This window comes from Homo sapiens, chromosome 6 (genome assembly GCF_000001405.40).
Source record: "Homo sapiens chromosome 6, GRCh38.p14 Primary Assembly".
NCBI classification, from domain to species: Eukaryota; Metazoa; Chordata; class Mammalia; order Primates; family Hominidae; genus Homo; species Homo sapiens.
The window spans coordinates 3,366,416-3,385,730 of NC_000006.12; the positions used below are offsets into that span (position 1 = coordinate 3,366,416).

General features: G+C 45.1%; 1 protein-coding gene across 18 annotated transcripts in view, besides 4 other annotated features; it reads right to left on the reverse strand.

The window, feature by feature from the left end:
• SLC22A23 (solute carrier family 22 member 23) overlaps positions 1 to 19,315 on the reverse strand; it is a 188,078-nt gene that overhangs the window by 97,443 nt on the left and 71,320 nt on the right. For 2 of the 18 annotated variants that reach the window (XM_017011184.2, XM_047419241.1), the window contains exon 1: positions 11,409 to 11,610. The exons of the other annotated variants lie outside the window; for them this stretch is intronic. The gene's annotated coding sequence lies outside the window, so the exon portion shown is untranslated. Of the gene's footprint in view, positions 1 to 11,408; positions 11,611 to 19,315 lie in introns of those variants that run through there. 18 annotated transcript variants of the gene reach the window in all.
• Positions 4,084 to 4,604: an enhancer, noted in NCBI's record as "H3K27ac-H3K4me1 hESC enhancer chr6:3370733-3371253 (GRCh37/hg19 assembly coordinates)". NCBI's record gives its function as "activates a minimal SCP1, AML or CMV promoter by ChIP-STARR-seq in naive H9 embryonic stem cells {active_cell/tissue: H9 hESC(naive)}" and the evidence as "EXISTENCE:reporter gene assay evidence [ECO:0000049][PMID:30033119]".
• Positions 4,140 to 4,434: an enhancer, noted in NCBI's record as "tiled region #2671; HepG2 Activating DNase matched - State 5:Enh". NCBI's record gives its function as "activates a minimal TATA promoter and a strong SV40 promoter by Sharpr-MPRA in HepG2 cells {active_cell/tissue: HepG2}" and the evidence as "EXISTENCE:reporter gene assay evidence [ECO:0000049][PMID:27701403]".
• Positions 4,140 to 4,434: a silencer, noted in NCBI's record as "tiled region #2671; K562 Repressive non-DNase unmatched - State 7:EnhWF". NCBI's record gives its function as "represses a minimal TATA promoter and a strong SV40 promoter by Sharpr-MPRA in K562 cells {active_cell/tissue: K562}" and the evidence as "EXISTENCE:reporter gene assay evidence [ECO:0000049][PMID:27701403]".
• Positions 11,070 to 11,169: an enhancer, noted in NCBI's record as "active region_23890". NCBI's record gives its function as "activates an Ori minimal core promoter by ATAC-STARR-seq in GM12878 lymphoblastoid cells {active_cell/tissue: GM12878}" and the evidence as "EXISTENCE:reporter gene assay evidence [ECO:0000049][PMID:35858748]".

The following is a 19,315-nucleotide window of genomic DNA, read 5'->3' on the forward strand; positions in this document are numbered from 1 at the left end:
AGTCTTGGTCCACCTTGTGAGCCATGGTATTCTCCTCTGTTAAATGGTGTTAATTATTTAACTCGCTGTGTTGTGGGGAGATGGGTTAATACAAGCTCAGTCCCTAGCACAGTTCCTGACTCAACAAATCACTTCTTCCTTTATTAGTATTATTACTACCAGTAGTATATGCAAACTAACTTTTCCTGAGTTATTGCTATTCAAGCTATCTCATGTGGACAATACTTCTATGCGATCTATGTAATTGCTGAAGTTCACAAAACTTCACAGACCACTCTCATAAGCTAAACATCAGTCCAAAATATCAGCCTCAGAGAGCGACTTAAAGCACAGAGCTTAATAATTCACCTCCCGACCTCATCCCCAGCAGAAGCCACCATGAACCTTGGACAGGCAGGATCCTAGCAATGGTGGGTAAGACCTAGTTCAAGCAAGTGACCTCTGTCTCCTACCCCATCCTCCACTCAAAATGAAAACTTAGTTGATATTTGTCAGTGTTACTCAACTCCCCTGGCAGAAATCATTTTCCTCCAGAAGGAAGGACAGGGGGGATTAACACCAGGTCTTAGGCAGTGAGCAGATGAACAAGAACTTACTTATATGCAAACATGGCAATCAATCATTGCAAGCACCCCACCAACTCCTGACGAGATGCCTTCTGTCTCCACTAAACATCTGCTAGCAAACCTTTAGAGGGAAGTGTGTGTGTATTTTAAAGGAAATGCGAAATGCTCTTTTCCCTGGAGCTTTCTGCTTCCCTGAGGTTATAACTGCATTAGTGGCAAGAGCATCAGTCTCATGGCCCAGAGAAGGTCAAAGTACATTTCCAAAACAGTCCAGAAATCAAATTTTTGAGGCAGGATAAAGGGTCAGTCTGGTTCAGTTAGTTGGGTATTCAAAGCCTATTCTTTGGCCATCATTGAAAACATCTCTGTCTTTTTGCTTGTGATTAACTGTGTAATGGGAAATGTCTATTCCAATATGCCATCATCTTGGGCGTTAGCAAGCTGGCTGTGACGGCACCTACAGGGTTGTTCTCCCATTGCCTTAGGAACAGGCTTCTGCAGTACCTGTATCTCATTCCTTGGCAGCCTGGTCGTGACTGAGATGCATCTGGGTCTCAGAGAGTGCATAGCAGGGGCCAGGCAGCTACTCTATGACTTTACAGTCCGGAGAGGAAAACACTCATGTTCCCATCACAGATGAGGAGCCTGAGGGACGTAAGTTAGGTTGCCCAAAGTCACACAGCTCATAGTGGTGGTAGAAGGGCTTACAGTGAATTCTAGGTGAGGTTTTCCAGTGGCTTCTATGTGGAAGAACTCCTAACTATTTGTTAGCACTTAAAGACTAGTCACATGAAATAAAAGAGGAACCAGCCTCCATCAATGCACCCAGTGACCCCAACTGGGACTCAAATCAGTAATAACATTTCCTTCTGCTTAGTACAGGGAAAAACCCCGACACTGGACTCTGTGCTTTTCTCACTGGGTCAAGTCTCATTTTCCTGAACACTGAGTCCTCTCTGCTGTCTCAGCCTCATTCAGAAATGTCCATCTCTCTGCGTCTTCACCAGCGGACCGAGAGACCCAGCACCCATCACTGGACTTGAGCAAGGTCAAGGTGACTGAAGGCAGAGAGCAAAGGAGGGTGGCCTTGGGCTGGGAAGTCACAACCACTCACTTCCCACCCTTTTGGACAAATGCTGCTTTCTGGAAACAGAAGGTTTATTTGAATCCTTGGTCCTACATGACAAAGGGCTTGATGGCATCTGCATCTTGGGGATACGTTCCCCTCTCCAGCCCCTCACACCCTGCTCTTCCACATGGTCCCAGTGCTGGCAAGGATGTAGGCCAGGCTTCCCCGCGAGGCCCTTGCACCCCATGCTCAACCCGAGCTGCTCCTTGGCCATGTAATTTTCAACCTGGGATCCATGAATGTGTTCAGGGATACGGGAGGCCTCTGTAACTTTATGTGAAACTCTATGCATGTGTGCATGTGTGTGTAAGAGATATGCGCTTTTCCAGGGGAAGGACCCGTAGCTGCCATCAAATTCTGGAAGGGGGTCTCTGACCCAAAAATATTCATAAGATTCAGAAGTACTGCCTTAGAAGGGGCTTTCGCTTCTGTCAAATTGGCCACATTTCAACATAAAGTGGGTCAGAGTGATGAAAAACTGAAAAAGTTAAGGATGGGCAATTTAATTTGTAAGATTTCAGGGAAATTAAAACAAATCCTCCAATGCAATAAGTTATGCACACACACACACAAATCCAATAGAATGGGGAATCATTAGCTGTGAAAGGGATGGGGGTGGGCAAGAACAGTATGAGTGAGGAAAGACAGCCAAGATTAGTAGAGATGCCAAACAGGAGAGGAAGTCCAATCAGGCCAGGCAGCGGCGTCCTCTTTCCAAGATGTGAGTTGCCAGGAAGGTGGGTTCGTTATGCAGCTTGTTTAGGCTGTGCACCAGTTCCTATTTTTACTTAAACCTATAAAAATGACTATATGGCAAGGAAGAACCCGCTGACACACCAGAATTGCTCAGAGTGATGAGCTAATTAAAATTCAATGGTCTTTCCCAGAGATGGCTCTATTTTTAACCTAATTCTGACTGTCACTATTGTGTGAGGTTTACTTTTTTTTTTTTTATGAAAATACTTTTTCCCTTCTTAATATTCTCATGAATAATTTAGCCCAGCTGATAATTCCTCTAGTCTTCTTCTAGCATTTCGTCTAAAGATGTGGTGACATTCCTGGGCAGAAGGGAACTGGTAAAAACCATGTGAATTCTTGTCCCCTGCTCGCCCAGTTAAATCTAAAGGGTTAAAAAAAATGGTGGCACAAAAAGGACTACAGCCTGAGCATTCTAAAGGTCACTCTAAAGGTCACCATCACCTCCTTATAATTTTTCTCCAACCCTTCAAGGTAGTAGTATCCACATCCACAAATGTTTTCTAAAAGTCCATGGATAACTGATTAGAAGTAATGGAATAGGCCGGGCACGGTGGCTCACACCTGTAATCCCAGCACTTCGGGAGGCCAAGGCGGGTGGATCACCTGAACTGAAGAGTTCGAGACCAGCCTGGCCAACATGGTGAAACCCCATCTCTACTAAAAATACAAAAATTAGCCGGGCGTGGTGGCGTGCACCTGTAATCCCAGCTACTTAGGAGGCTGAGGCAGGAGAATGGCTTCAATCTGGGAGGTGGAGGTTGCAGTGAGCCAAGATTGTGCCACTGCATGCCAGCCTGGGTGACAGAGTGAGACTCCATCTCAAAAAAAAAAAAAGTAATGGAATAAACAAATGTTTAGGTTCTTATTTATAGGGACCCTGGACTAGTCCATACAAGCATTTTAACCCAAAAACTGTTGAAATGCTTCATGCTTAGAATGTGTGTGCACACGCACATGTAAACATGGCTTCAGTTTTAGAAATGGTTTTCAATGAATCTCAAGCACGACTATTTTTTCTTGTGAAAATTTCCCTTACATTTAGGTATATCTCCACATTCAAGAGAAAAAATAATAAACAAAAACTCAGTATGCTGTAACCACAATTAAGATTTGTTGAGCATCACCCTTCTCTTTTTGGAGGAAGCGGCAAATTATAAGAAAATAGATCCAATTTTATCAGGATGACTATAAGAAAATCGGCTACAATAGACTTTGCTGAATTTCACTTTTTGGAATATACATTTCCATTAAAAAATTCCTGGTTGGGAATTTTTTTTCCCTAAATTTATTTTTTCCTTGGATTTTCTTTCAAAAAACAAAAAGAGGTTAGCCATACGTAGGAAGGCAAAAACCCTTTTAAGAATTATGCTTCTGTGGGAAATGACTGAAAGGGAAATTATTTAACAGTACAACTAAAATGCTTAAAACAAGCTTCAGAGAGCCTTGACTGTGGGTCTTTGAGGAATTGCGAGGCTCACCGGGGCAGTGGGGGTGCATGTGCCTTCCAACGGCAGGTGGCCCATGCCTGGCTCTCACTTTGTACGAAGCTTTCTCTGCACAGGTGTCGAAAGCAAGGCTCACTCGCACTGGAGACGAAGCCTCCAGGTGTGCTGCAACCTTGCAACCACAGATACACACACAGCCCTTGAGGCGGTGGCCAGGTGGCCTGCGGGGCAGCTCATGCCCAGCCCCTTCAGCATGCAGTGGTGGGAGCTCCTGGCTCCCCTCAGTGCCTCTCACCTGACTCAGGTCTGTGTGCCCAAGGCCAGCTCAAACTCCAAGTTGAGCAAGTCCTCACGATGACCTTCAGTGTGCCTACACCTGCTTCCCTTGCAAACATTTAATGCAGAGAAAACGTCAATTGTGGTTTGGCTTCAATAACTTGATTGATCTCTTAAAACCAATAGGACTTTCAAAGCCAGGACATCACGACTCACTTCTCTGCAGACCTGCAGCAGGGACTATTAAGTGTTCAATTTCCTGAAAACAGCTCCTACCTGAGATTTATTTACCACTCAGCTGCTCCCAGCAACGTGGCCTTGTTCTTTAGAATCACTTTATTTTACTTAATCTCCAAGAGATACCACAACACGAAAATGAACTTACTTGAAAAAGAGTCTTGGAGAGCCTCTGCACCTCACTTTCCTCTCCTCGAGCTGACGAGGATGTTATTTTGATGTTTATCTGGTGCCATGGTAACTTTCATGACTTGAGATTTACTTTTCAGACTTAGAGTGATTATGGAAAGTCATTTTAGCAAATAATTATTGAGTGCCTACCAAGTGTGGAAGATAAGATAAATAAGACGTTGCTTTCCTCAAATGGGCACAAGTCAGAGTGCCAAGGGCTAGGCTAGAAATCTGCAAACTTTTCCAGAAAGAAAGCCAAATGGCAAATATTTTAGGTGCTGCAGGCCACATGGCATCTGCTGCTAGAGAACAAAAGTCACCATAGAAAATATAAGTGAAGGGTTGCCAGGGCTGTGATCTAATAAAACTTTATTTGTGGACATTGAAATGGAAATTTCCTAAATTTTCATGTGTCACAAAACATTGAGCTTTTGATTTTTTTTCTCAACTGTTTAAAAATGTAAAAACCATTCATAGCTTGCAGGCGGCTATGAAAACAGGCAGCTGGCTTTGGCCAGTAGGCGGGGGCTTAGACTCCTGGATGGACCCTCAGGCCTGCCCCTTACCAGCTCTATGGGTGGAGGGGAATTGCCTGAACTTCCTGAACCTCAGTTTTCTCATTTGTAAAATGGGGATAAAAATCTTTGTCTTGTGGGTTCTAAGAATTAGATACTGAAACACAGAAAACACCAAATGAATGTTAGCTAATCTCCTTCCTTGATGATGATAACCACATTGATAAAGCAGTAACAACTAACCCTCCTGAACATTTATTTCCTGCCAGGCACTGTGTTAAGTGCTACCTACTTTTTACAGTATATTATCTAACCTAAGATGCCATCGATTTTAAGATGCACCATTATTGAATGTACCACCAAGAAAGAAAAAGCTGCGAGTTAACCTCTGACACAGCATCGATTGTAAGATCCTGATTCACAAATGCTCAAGAGTATGTGTGTTTTGGAGGATGCATCTTAGAATCAATACAATATGGTATCTTCTTTAATCCCACGACCATCCCAGGAGGTATGTACTCTCATCATCCCTAATTTACAGATGAGGAAACTGAGGAACAGTTCCTAGCCCATGCTTAAACAGCTAGAAGCATCCGTGCTGAGGCCATGAACCTGGGCAACCTAGTCCAGGATCTGAGCTCTGCCTCGAGGGCACAGACTCCTGTGATGAGGCTGGACCACTTGGGACTCTGAATATGCAAGGGAAGGGCAAGGAAGTCTGAAGCAGGGTAAACACCATCGGGCCAGTAAATCTTGTCCATCTAGTGTTTCAAAGTAGGGTATGAATGCAGTAACAGGTAACAGGGATTTGAAAATGTGGAATAAAAGTGGCAAGATGCACGAAGGTCTAAGCCTGCAGGCTCCTCCTGCTGGCTGTGCTGGGAAGGGGGGATGGGCGTGGCTGCTGACAGCACGTAAGGTGGACAGAGCAGGGCATGAGGAGAAGTCCAGGGAGATCTTTCTTACACTTGAGCTTTACTGTCTTGTGTGGAAGGAACACATGTGGGCTGTGGAGTTCAGGGGCCAGACACCAGCCTGGAGCTCTGTCGTGTACTGGTGGCGTGGCCTGAGGAAACCGTGGCTTCCCCCCATGTCTCATGCACAGGGCCCTCAGCATGGACTGCAGCCTCCCAGCTCAGCTGGGAGCAGCAGGTGAGACCATGAGCATCCCAGGGAGCTGGAGCACAGCCGGGGCGTTAGATATGGAGCCTCAGGGTGCGCAAGTCCTAGGACAATCTAGGCCAACATTCTCTTCCAAATTCTGACTTGTTTTTATTTCACAATGTCGATCTCAAATCTCTTTCTCTTCATTATATTTCATCGCCAAACATTTATGAAATACTTAAAATACACTAAGTGAGAGTCAGGATTCTTCCGTAAAACTCCAATTAGCCAAAAGCTTGCCCAGTCCGTGCCTTCAGCCTATGTTATCATGCAGGAAAGAATTAACCCATGAGTTCTGAGGCTGCTCTGCTTAGGAAGGCCTGCCTGCGAGGCTGGTTCTTGGCTGGCATCTGGGAAGTTGGATTCCGAAGGGTTAACACTGTCCCCTAACTGATCTTCCCTAAGATGTCTCACAAACAATGTGGATTGTGCCAAGCAAGTGCTTTCCTTCTGGGAGTCTGGGATGTTGGCATGCACCAGGCAGCCTGTGCCTGTGTGACCAGTCCCACAAAACCCCCCGGGCACTAAGTCTCTAGTGCGATTCCCTGGTAGACAACCCTGGACATGTGTTGTCACAATCCCATGTGGGGGAAGTCAGCACATCCTGTGTGACTCCGCTGGGAGAAGACTCTTAGAAGCTTGTGTCTGGTTTCCTCTGGACTTTGCCCCATCTGCTTTTCCCCTTTGCTGATTTTGCTCTGTGTCCTTTTGCTGTAATAAATCATAGCCACATGTACAACTATATGCTGAGTGCTGTGGTTCCCAGTTATTCAGCCAACCTGGGGGTGGTCTTGGGGACCCCTGACACAGCCATCCTCAGCCAATTCATTTTAGAATACTGTTCTTCTGGAGCAGTGCTTTGTGAGGCATAGGAAGGCCTGGGGGAGAGGTGGAGGGCTCTGACTATACCCACCCTAAATCAAAAGAAGAAGCTGGGAAGAAAAAGAGAAGAAGAAGAAAAAAAAGAAAGAAGAAGAAGAAAGGAAGAAGAAAAGGAAGAGGAGGAGGAGGAAGAAGAGGAGGAAGCAGCAGCAACAGCAGGTCACCTATTGTTCCATTCAGTGTTGACCAGGCACCAATTACACACTCAGGGGACAGTGACACTGTGATCGCTGCCCTTCAGAAACTTACGGTCCAGTAAAGGAGGCAGCAATGGAGATGATGATGATGGCAGTAACAGTGAACAGTGGACACTCATCTGGTGCCCACTACGTGCCAGGCACTGTCCTAAGCACTTTGACGTTAACTCCAGCAATCCTCACGGCAACCTTGGGAGGCAGGTACTTTTGTTATCTCCATCTTTACAGATGAGGAAGCTGAGCACAAAAAGGTTAAGTATCTGCCCAAGGTCACAAGGCTAGTTATCAGCAACACATCCTCTGATTTCAAAACCTCACTACTTAACCATTATATCATACTACCTCTCTCTGGACATAGAGAGAGGTCTGCACTAGCATAAACACAGGCCCAACTTTACCTACATCTTTTTCTTTTGTTAAATATCATTTATGACATCCTCTCCAGCAGCAGAATGATTTGTGTGCAAGTCAGAATGCCTATGCTGGGCTCTCAGCTATATGTCCAGGCTCAAGCCTGGTATATCTTTGGGTTCCCTCCCTGGCACCATGCACATGGTGAGCGGTCGGACGCCAGCTGGGTGGATGAGAATAACCACTGGGGACTGGGAGGCCTGTGATGACAGGCAGAAGGAAACACATGGAGGATGGATCCTGAAGGTAAATCCTGGAGAGTCAGAAAGGAAAACTAGCAATCTACCTGACAGTAACAACATGAGCAAAGTGCTGGAGCCAGCAATGAGGGCGACAAGTTGAGGAGCCAAAGGAAGGTTGGCTGGAATAAAGGGTGTGCTTTGGAGAAACTGGGCGGGCTGAAACTATGATGACCCTTAAGTAAAAAAAGTGTGAAAGTAATTGGTAGCCAGTGAGAAAGAAAGTGACCATAATGAAAGTGAGGATTTGGGAAGATGAATCTGGGGGCAGAAGAGAGGGATGGCTTAGCTGGGCCGAAGCCCTGAAGCAGAGCAAGGAGCTGACAAGTTGCTGCTGGAATCTCAGCACAATGTCACCCAGCACAGCCAGCCCTGGGGACAGGCCAAACCCAAAACTGGAGGCAGTTTCAGTGCTAGATCTGTCCAAGTAAGACCTCAGAGAACCATCTCTGACATTCTTTCCCACTTTATCCTTTTAGGATTCTAATAGACTCAGGTTAGAATTTGGGTGGTGGCTGTGGTTTTTAAGAACCATTTCTAAAGAGGAAACTGATGGACTCTGGTAGCTCATTAACAGTGGCAGGGGTCTTTGAAGAGTAAACGCAGAAAACTGAATGAACAACGGTGCTGATGATGGGAGTAAGGATGTCTTGGAAGAAAATCCAAACATTCTTTATTTCACACAAAATTATGCACAAAGGAAAACAGTCATCTCAATAGCGATAAGAAGTGAGACTTCAAATGACAACAAGCTACAGGAAGAAAAAAATCAGCAGAAAAAAATGACAAACAAGCCTATGAAAAAAATGAACCAGTTGATAGTTGGTTTATCCACCTCTATTCATCATTTAACATTTTCAGTACTCCCAGATTCAAAGCAAACCACCTCCTGTCAAATTATTGCTTATAAACTCTGTAGAGTCTGATGAATTCTCATGATTATATCTGACAACATTCAGTGTTTTGAAATGGAATGTCAGCTACTGACCCTCAGGAAGCTAATTGCTTTTCAATATATTCAGCACAGTTATGCGTCCAACTAAACCATTCGCTGACTATGGTAGTGGTGCACTACAGTGAGCTTTATTGCCAGAATCAATGTGGGCCAGTGGGCTAGTGCTGAGGCCATCACTGTGGGCAGGGATATGAGTTCTGGGGAGAAACTGCTCAACCTATTTTCAGCAGATGTAATTTACAGCTTTGTGTATAGTCTCTCTCACCACAGAGGGGATTTAAAGCCTCTAATGTGTATATCTGTGTTGAATATATAAGGTGGGTATTAAATATGACAGGATAAGCACTTCTGCAATTGGCCCCCTTCCAGTTAATCATCTTGCTTTGGACACATATACTTGGTCACTACTGGCAAAGACCAATTTCTGGTTTAATGGAGCAGAATGAAAAGATCCAGGTACAAATATCTATCTATCAACTGTCTCTATTCTTATTAAAATATTCCCCTCAGAGGAAAACACACGCCTATTCTGCTTACTTGAAGTTGCCTTTTAAGTAGTTGGTAAATTAGGAATTTTAATAGTAGAAATAAATTCATTTGGTGCCATGTGTATTTCAATTCTATTTCTAGAAGGCATTAGGAAGCCTCTTCCATATTTCATTTTTGAATATTTTATGGCCATATACATTTCTTTGGAAAAACACATTGCTTTTCAGGCAATAAAGATCGTGCAGATTTTATTAAACAATTGTGCCAGTAAGAGCATATCAGTAAATACCAATGCTGGCTTCAGAATAAAAGGTTTATTGTGCAGTCATTGCAGAGCTCTGTCCATTAGCGGGAAACCAGACTGAAGACTGGACACCCAGCTGCCTCCTCCTCCTTCTTCATTTCAACGTCTGATTTGAGCAACGCATCTGCCCATTGCTGTGCCCCAGCCAAAGGAAACCAACTCTATATCACGGAGCAAAGCAAACCTTCCCACTGTCCTCCTCTGAAGTTGACCTTTCTGAGCTGGGTTATAGTCCCTACCGCCCCTCACCTCGCACCTTCCCTCTGCCTGCCCCCACCGACATCCTGTAGCTCCCATTTCAGTAGCTCTGTGCCTCTTTCACCCCAGAATGTGCCTTCTTGTCCTTCTGCCCAACTAAATACCTCCCTCTCGAGTCCTTCCTTCCATAGGGAGACTTTCCTATCTTTCAAAGTTCATGCCGTTCTTTCCCTTCTCCTAAATTTCCAAAGACTTTCAGCCACCCAGCATCAATCCTTACATCATTCGCTTATTTTACAAGCATTTCATTCAGTGTATTTAGGCACAGTTCACTGTATTAGGTCATTTGGACAAAAATGGACAGGACAGACAATTATCTCGTAGACTAGCTGGAGTGAGAAGGCATCCTGTAAGAAAGGCAAAAGTGAAGTAGGTCCTGCAGGGGTTTGGGGAGTGAGGCTGGCCTCCTGGCTGGGAGGGTGGGGGAGATGGGAAGAAGATCTTTCAAGAAAAAGGGCCTTCTGAGTTGGTCCCTGAGAAACAGATAGAATGTGGCTATGCAAATGGTAGATGGAGGAAGAAGGGCATTTCAGATGGAGGAGAGGGTCCACATGAAGGTGTCGGGGGAAGGGCTGGGTGGAGAGCTCCAATTCTGATCTAGTAGCAATATTGTCCTTACTTCCAATCAGGTGAGTCATCTAGAGCAGAGGTTGGCAAACTGCAGCCTGCGGGACAAATTTGGCCCACTGCCTGTTTTTGTAAATAAAGCTTTATTGTAACACCCATTTGTTTACATATCATCTGTGGCTGCCTTATGCTATGGTGACAGGATTAAGTAGTTGTGACAAAAAACATATGGCCTGCAAAGCCCAAAATATTTACCATCTGGGACATTACAGAAAAAGTTTGCTGAGCCCTAGTCTAGTATTATAGCCAGGGAAGGTGTAGGGAGGAAAGGGCTCTTGGCCAAAGAAGGGCATTGCTGCTGATTACTGATGGAATGATGGAATGGAGAGGGTCAACAGAGGGAACACTGGATGGAAAGCAGTGGGATGAATGCTAAGAGAGCCCACCAACTGCCAGACCTCTGCCAGGCCTCCTGGACCCTCTGGCAGGGGAGGCCACCCTGCTGTGCCTGAATGGTGCAGTGACTGGGTGCCACGTGTGTGCTCTCTCCAGTCTGTGGGCAGCATGAAGGCAGAAAGCACCATTATGGCTTTAATGCCTTCCCCTCCCATGCAGCTGCATCCACAGGACCTGAGGAGTAAACTGTGCCCCTCCAAGTCTCGCACTGAACGTGTCTAGGCTGCAGATCAGTGATCTCAGGCTGTACTAAAGAAAGACAATGAGCAGTGGAGAACAGCACTGGGCCAGGCAGAGGCTGTAGGTGGGGAAACGAGTGAGGAGACTATTGACAACATCCCAAGATGGAATGACACTAGCACAGTGGCCCTGGCAGGGAAGTACTTACACCTCATACAGGCAGTCTCAGCTCCTCCAGAGAACAGCCGCTGCAGAGGGGATCGTGCCCCTTCCACTGCCCAGCAGCCACCAAAAGAACAACAGGGCACTTGAGGTATCAGCAGTTCTGCCAGCCTGAGGATGTTGCTGTTTCACAGCTCCTGGGAGCAATTCCTCCAGGGAACAGGACACCCAGGAGTCCCGAGGTGTCTGCTGGGCAGGGCAATGGTTGTTATGGAATCTGTTTACCCGGAAACCACCACGACGCCACATACCTAAGAATACCTAGGGCACTTATGACTGATTCCTACATGCCCGCAACTCCTCTTTAACATTTAATATCACCGATGGCTCCGAACACTTTGTACTTTTTGCTCAGCTGACCTGGAAGCCTTTGGTCGTTTTCCCTCCTAGCTGGGCCCATGTTTGTCAGGTGGGTGCACTGAGAGGTCAGAAGTCAACATGGCCCGAAGTCCATCAGGCATGGGTGGTGAGAACCAGGACCGTTCTCCCAGGAATAGAAGGGTGAAAGCACCTGCAGACCTCGGCCCGTGATTCAGCACTTACTCCTGAAAGACTTGAGGGTATTTTTAAAACTTTTTACAAAGCGACCATTGCTGCTGTTGCTACTGAGGCAACAGGGTAATTGTTTCCTTTGAAAAGCCATCACTTCCTCTCCTATTTTATGTGGTTCTTATCTGTCGACTGTGACTGGCTTTCACTACTTGAAGGGCATTAGACTGGAAGTCTAAGTTCTCACCCTGGCTCAGATACCATCTGTCCAGCCTTAGATATGCCTCTGAACCTCTCTCTGTGTCAGACTTTTTTTTTCTTTTCTTTTTTCTTTTTTTTTTTTTTTTTGAGATGGAGTTTTGCTCTTGTTGCCCAGGCTGGAGTGCAATGGCGTGATCTCGGCTCACTGCAACCTCCGCCTCCAGGGTTCAAGCGATTCTCTTGCCTCAGCCTCCTGAGTAGCTGGGATTACAGGCACCTGCCACCACACCCGGCTAATTTTTTGTATTTTTAGTAGAGATGGGGTTTCACCATGTTGGCCAGGCTGGTCTTGAACTCCTGATCTCAGGTGATCCACCTGCCTCAGCCTCCCAAAGTGCTGGGATTACAGGCTTGAGCCACCGCGCCTGGCCTCAGTGTCAGGTTTTAACATGAAGGAGGAGCTGAATCGTGGCCTGGGCTCTAAGTTGCAGGTCAGGCAAAACCTGTCTTTATGGGAGAGTTGTCTGGGCCTCCCTGCCAGCATGACACTTTTTGCCCTGTTTTCTCCACAGTGTAATTCTGGTGCCCTTAATGAGCTCTCTGGAGATTCTCTCCCATGGCTGGCCTGTCTCTGAGACAAGTTCTAGTCTCTGATGTTGAGTCTAGACCACAGCAACAATTCTAAAATGTCCTTCTCCTCCACCAAGGGGACTTCGGCTTCCCCCAATAAACATGCTCTTTCCTCTTGGCAAAAGTAGTTTAAAAACCTGCTGGATTTGGAGTTCTTTGAGGGAATGGTCTATCTTTTTAATGACTATCTATGAACTCAAAAAACCACCTAATGCTCCCTGATAAAGTTCAGAGTGTGCTTCTCATTGTCCAGAATGAGATGTGTATCTCCTGCTATGGAACGCTGTCACAGAACTATCGAACACCATGCAGCAAATTCAAGGCTTTACACTTGCAGGGCTTAGACAGGGGATTTGGGAGGTGTGCGAGGGTGGGCAGAGAGAAGGATAGACAGCGTTTTCCACGTGGTTTTGGATAGTTTAGCTTAGGTGAAAGAGAAAGGCAAACAAACATTTTGGGGACTGAAATGCTGCCATTTGTTCCTTTCCCCCAATACTAAAATTCTCCCACCAAGACTACCCTCGCTTCATATCACCTTGAACACAAGTTGAAAACCTAAACCTTTGCAGCATGTGCTTACGTAGAAACTTATGCAATTCAAACAGAAGTCATGCAGCTGGGACGGGCTCAGATTGCCTGATGACTACTCAACGAGCTGCCCTCAGCTCCCAGCAGGGGCTTCAAAGGGTTCCTGTGGTTTCATTTATTAGGGATGATAAATATTGTGCACACATTTCCCCAGTATCAGGGATCTTAGAACAGGATCAGTTTAAATCTTTGGAGAGAAAGGAGTGTGGATGCGTGTGTGTGTGTGTGTGTGCACGTGCGTGCATCTGTACACATGCCTGTGGGAGAGATAAAGAGAGGAAATGTGAGAACATAATGAGGGATGAGGGGGCTAGAGGGTGAAGAGTACAGAAATCCCAAACAATCTCTGTTAAAGACATAAATAATAGAATATGAATTCTAAGCCAGAGTAGCGCTTGATATCTGAACAACACTGACTCCATAGGGGTGAGTGGCTTACCCAAACTCAACAAGGTGAGCAGGCTTTAGAAACATTTAGATGAAAGCTTCAAACTGAAATGAATTGGTCTGGGTGAACAGGCATGATAGCCTTGACTATAACCCCTCCACTAACCTATCTTGACATAGTTAAGTAAGATAGTAGTATAAGGCTGAACTATTTCAAACCACAATAATAAGGAATTGGTAAGAAGAATATTCCAGGGAATAACTAATTTGGATGCATCAGCTAATAGTATTTCCATACATCTGAGTGGCCCAACAATGGCCTGACCAATGAATCAAACATTTATTGACATTATCATGAAACTAGGCATTCCGGTAGATTTAAATCAATATGTACAAAGTCCTGTGAAACCGGACTCTATTTTGGAACTTCCTATTTACTCTCTACAAAACTCTATACACCCAAAGTCAACACTAACATCCTTTCATGCTAGTACTAACTCACATTAAGTTATTAAAAAAAAAAATCAAGCTATTAGCAAGGACGGGGAAAACTGCAGTGAGTTTGTGTATCAGCCACAAGCTGTGTTGCACTGAAGTAACAACTTTTTAAAATCTCAGAGGCTGAAAATGCCAACAGCTTATTTCTTATTCACAATACATGCCTATTGAGGGCTGGTGGGTCTCTGCTTGTCATTGTCACGTGGGGATGCAGGCTGACGGAGCAGCTACCATTGTGAATGCTGCTGGCCGGCATCCAGGAGGCCTAGCAGGTCTCTTACAGGTAACTGAATGCTCCAGCCCAGAAGTGACAGGTCACTTCCACTCGCAGCTCATTGGTCAGGACCAGTCACAGGAATCTGCCTAACCTCATGGGCATTTTGAAATCTCTTCAACTTTTTGAAACTGCTTCAGAGATGCCTCGTATGTGAAGGCACTGACACCACGTCCTGGGTGCTTTGTGTCCTTAGGGGAATGGCTGATGTCTCTAGGCCACTTTCTGTGTCTCCTTCATCAGAGCCCGAGAACCATCAAAAGGACTAACTGAAGTCCCTTCCCGTGGCTATCTCTCTGCCAGGCATGGGGACACCACATCTCCCCAGCCTGCTGGGGCCTCTCTGTGGGGAGGTGAGGAAGAGAAGCCTGCCTTAGTGAGGTCCATCTGCCCATTAACCACAGCACTGTAGTACAGTGGGGGCTCAGCCATCTTCAACTTTATACTCTGATCTTTTTGGGGACCTTTCCCTAGGACACCTTTTGTCTATTCTGCCATAGGTTGGGCAGGATCAACTAACTACAGGACAGCAGAATGGGGCTGACTGAGTAGCCTCAGTGGTGAGGCGTTTCAGGACCAGTCCCCAATAAAAATTAACAACAGCCAGGCTTAAAATATCAGCACAGCCACTGTGATAAACCATGTCGCAGAGAAGAGTGGGGACTCTCCAGCCAGACACGCTGTGCTCCCAATCCCAGCTCTACAGCCTTCCAGCCAAGCAAGCCTGGCCCAGCGCCCTGCCTTCTCTCTGCTCCATTTACCATCTGTGCGAGGGGGACAGTAGTGGAATTTATTTCTTACAGGCTTATGGTGAGAATGGAATCAGGAGAAAAGAGCTAGAACAATGCCTGGCAGTGCACAGTAAAGTCCCTAGTTCCTTTTCTTATCAGCATCCTCTTGGCCTCCCTCAGCCACGCTCCTTTCAGACTCATTTGCTGCCACCATGAGCAAGACACACCCCTCACAATGATTTTGTGAGACAGGCATGCACCCTGCTTAAAGAATGAGAAGACTATGAGTGACCCAGATTCCCATCTGTCTGCCCCAGGCCCATGCTCTTTCCCTGCAATGTTCCGCCTCACTTACCCTGATGTCACGATGACAAGGGGGTCCACTTTAACATAAGGGGAATAACTCAGTGGAGGTGGATCCTCCACTTGTACTTAGAGCTCTTCAAGGATGCTGCTCTGCTCTCTCAGTTCAACAAAGATAAGTCAATATTTTCTCCATGAGAATCTATTCTGCATGCTTGACAGAGTGACAGGGTTGAGCCACCAACTCTTAGTCCTCAGTATGCACAGCCAGCCAGGCTCAAGCCTCAGATGCTGGAGATGAATCAGGGAAGAAAGTGTCAGATGAAGGACAGTGAGGTGAATAGCTAAACTCTGTCCCAGCCTAAAATTCAAATCTCATGGTAGTATTTTTAGTTGTGGCTTTGTAACGTAGTTTACAATGCATAACATACTGACCCTTAAGATGCACTTACGCCCTAGTCTGAAAATTGCTACCTTTCTCCCTCAACTTTTATTTTGCCTCAAGGCCTTATGAGGTATCACAAGCTCAGCTTTATCCTTGCCTGTACTATTAATAGACTGGGCGAGTCCCCCTGGGCTCTGTGATCAAAGTTTCCCATCTCTGACCTAGTAGCAACATTGTCCTTCCTTCCAACCAGGTGAGTCATCTACGACAGAGGTTGGCAAACTATAGCCTGTGGGACAAATTTGGCCCACTGCCTGCTTTTGTTAATAAAGCTTTATTGTAACACCCATTTGTTTACATATCATCTATGGCTGCTTTATGTTATGGTGGCAGGATTAAGTAGCTGTGGCAAAAAACATATGGCCTGCAAAGCCTAAAATATTTGCCATCTGGGACATTACAGAAAAAGTTTGTTGAGTCCTAGTCTAGTATTATAGCAAGGGAAGGTGTAGGGAGGAAAGAGCTCTTGCCAAAGAAGGGCATTGCTGCTGATTACTGATGGAATGATGGAATGGTAAACTCACTCATTGTTTACAGACAGACTCTCAGACCAAAGGGTATGCACTTCATTTAACAAACATTTTCTTATGCCAGATCCTAAGACATAACAACGAGCAAGATAAACTCCTTTTGGAGACTAAAATTGTGTGTTAGGGTGAAGATGGGGGTGTAAGGGAAAGAGAAGGAATAGAGAGATGTATAAAAGCAATGACAGCCCAAATGATAGCAGCATATTCAGACAGCAGAGAAACAAACAAATGATAAAGCTATAAAGATCAACACAGGCGGCATCTCAGAAATAATGCTGAGTGAAAGATAACGTATGGAGGAACACACACGGTATGATTTGACTTATTAAAAATGCAAAACTAAATGATGTACTGTTTATGCATACTAACAGATGAGGTAAAATAATAAAGAAAAGGGAACAAATAACACAAAATTCTGGCTGGTTTTTTCTCTGAGGGTGGGGCTGGGGAGGGACACCCAGGGTGCCTGAAAGGCACCAAAGCCGGGTAGTGAGTACATGAACGTGCACGGTGTAGAATCCTTTATAGCTGACATATATCTTATTAGTATTTTTATATCTACTCCGTGGTTAAATAAAACCAAACCATGTTGAACACAGAGTCAGTGTGACGAGCGCTATGATTCTGTGACTAGGACAGTGGAGAGTGCTACAGGCACACGGAGGAGGGGCCTCTGACTCTGATGTGAGGGGTCAGAAGAAAATCCCTAGAAAAAGTGGCGCCAACCTTATCTGAGGACTTTATGAGCAAACTTCACCCTGAGAAAAAGTCACAGGAGAGTGTTCTGGCGAAAGTCCAGTGATGACACAGATTGCAAGGTTTTCAAGGAACTGATACCAGCTCAGCAAAACAGGCAGAGCAAGTGAGGTGGGGGCGGGCGACGGGGCTGAGAGGGCCCCCTGAGGTCCTACTATGCGCCTGACCAGCCACAGAAAGCCTTTATTCTAAAAGCAATGAGAGCCTTTGAAGGATTTATGGTATGGAGTAAAGTGACATGATCAGAGCTGCCTTTTTACAAGATTCTTCTGGCTGTGGCAACATCAGCTTCCTCTGGTACCCTAAAGTCCCTCAGGTTTCTGCTGGGTTGAGACCGGTGCCAGCTCCCGGATGTCCGCAGTAATGATGTACACCCCTATTACTTGAGAAGAACAAAAACGGTGCCAGGCCAAAATTGCATGAGGTGCTTCATTATCATAGCAGATGCTTATAGACTGCTACAAGCAGGAGAAAACATTTTTGTATAAATTGACTTTTAGTACATTGAATTAAATATTCATGCACCTGTAGGGCTGCAATTGTAAAGACATCTCACAGTGAATCTTTGCAAAGTGGTTGCTCCTTCTCTAAAGTAAACAATCTCCTATCATACGTCTGCTTTATAAAAATAGGTTTTAATCTCAGACTCATGTTAAATAAGCATTTCTGTCTAAGAATGTTTCTTAATCCTTTAAAAGTATAGATAAGTAAAAATTACGAATGCTGTAAATACTTTATAAATACTTCTAAATCATATCAGTGGGAAAATCACTTAAAAAACACATTTTCCTGGTGGCAAGAATAAACATGGAGGTAGATAATGATACAAAGAAAATAAATCACGGAACAGAGCTGCCTTTTGGTTTCATCATCACACTACCTAGTTTGAACTTGAACCTTAATTACCAAATAATTACCACATTCTTTTTGCTTGTTATTTCTATTTTTAAAAATGTCAATAAAAACTTTTATTCATTAATGCTTATGGTAAGTTAAGCCAGAACCTCACAGATAGCCTCCAAAGAACACAGTGATTTTAAAAGTCCCCCAAATCATATGATCCAGCATTTCTACTTCTGGGTATAGTCCTTCAAGAACTGAAAGCAGGAACTCAAAAACACACACATGTGTTCACAGCAGCAGTATTCACAATAGCGAGAATGTGGAAGCAACCTAAGTGTGAATGGGTGAACAAAATGTGGCCTATCCATACGATATAATACGATCCCGCCTTAAAAAGGAAGGGGATTCTCATATCTGCTGCAACATGTCTGAACATGGAGGACATTATGCTCAGTGGAATAAGCCAGTCACAGAAAAACAAATGCTGTATGAATCCATTTATATGAGGCACTAGTGTAGTGAAATCCATAGAGACAGAAAGGAGAACGGCGGTTACCAAGGGCTGGGGAGAGGAGGGAGAATGGGAATTTGTTGTTAAATGGGTGCACTTTCAGTTTGGGAAGATGAAAAGAGTTCTGGAGATGGATGGTGGTGAGGGGTGCCCTAGAGGGTGAATGAACTTAATGCCACTGAACCATACACTTAAATGGTTAAGATGGGCTGGGCACGGTGGCTCATGCCTGTAATCCCAGCACTTTGAGAGGCCAAGGTGGGTGGATCACTTGAGGCCAGGAGTTTGAGACCAGCCTGGCCAACACAGCAAAATCCTGTCTCTACTAAAAATACAAAAAAAATTAGCCGGGTGCGGTGGCCCATGGCTATAGTTCCAACTACTTGGGAGTCTGAGGCACAAGAAGTCCTTGAGTCTGGGAGGCAGAGGTTGCAGTGTGCAGAGATGGTGCCACTGCACTCTAGCCTGGGCGACAGAGCAGAACTCTGTCTCAAAAAACAAAAAAAAAGGTTAAGATGGTAAATTTTATGGTATGTGTATTTTACCATGATCAAACAGAAAGTTGTAAAACACAGGTGCCTTAGCTGAACCACACAACTGACAAGTTTACTAAAAATTAGCTTTGTCCCCTACTGTTGGAGCTAATTGTCTGAGTTCCCTTACAAGTCTGGGCTCCTTGGGGAAGTCCTCTGAAGTCACAGCCCATG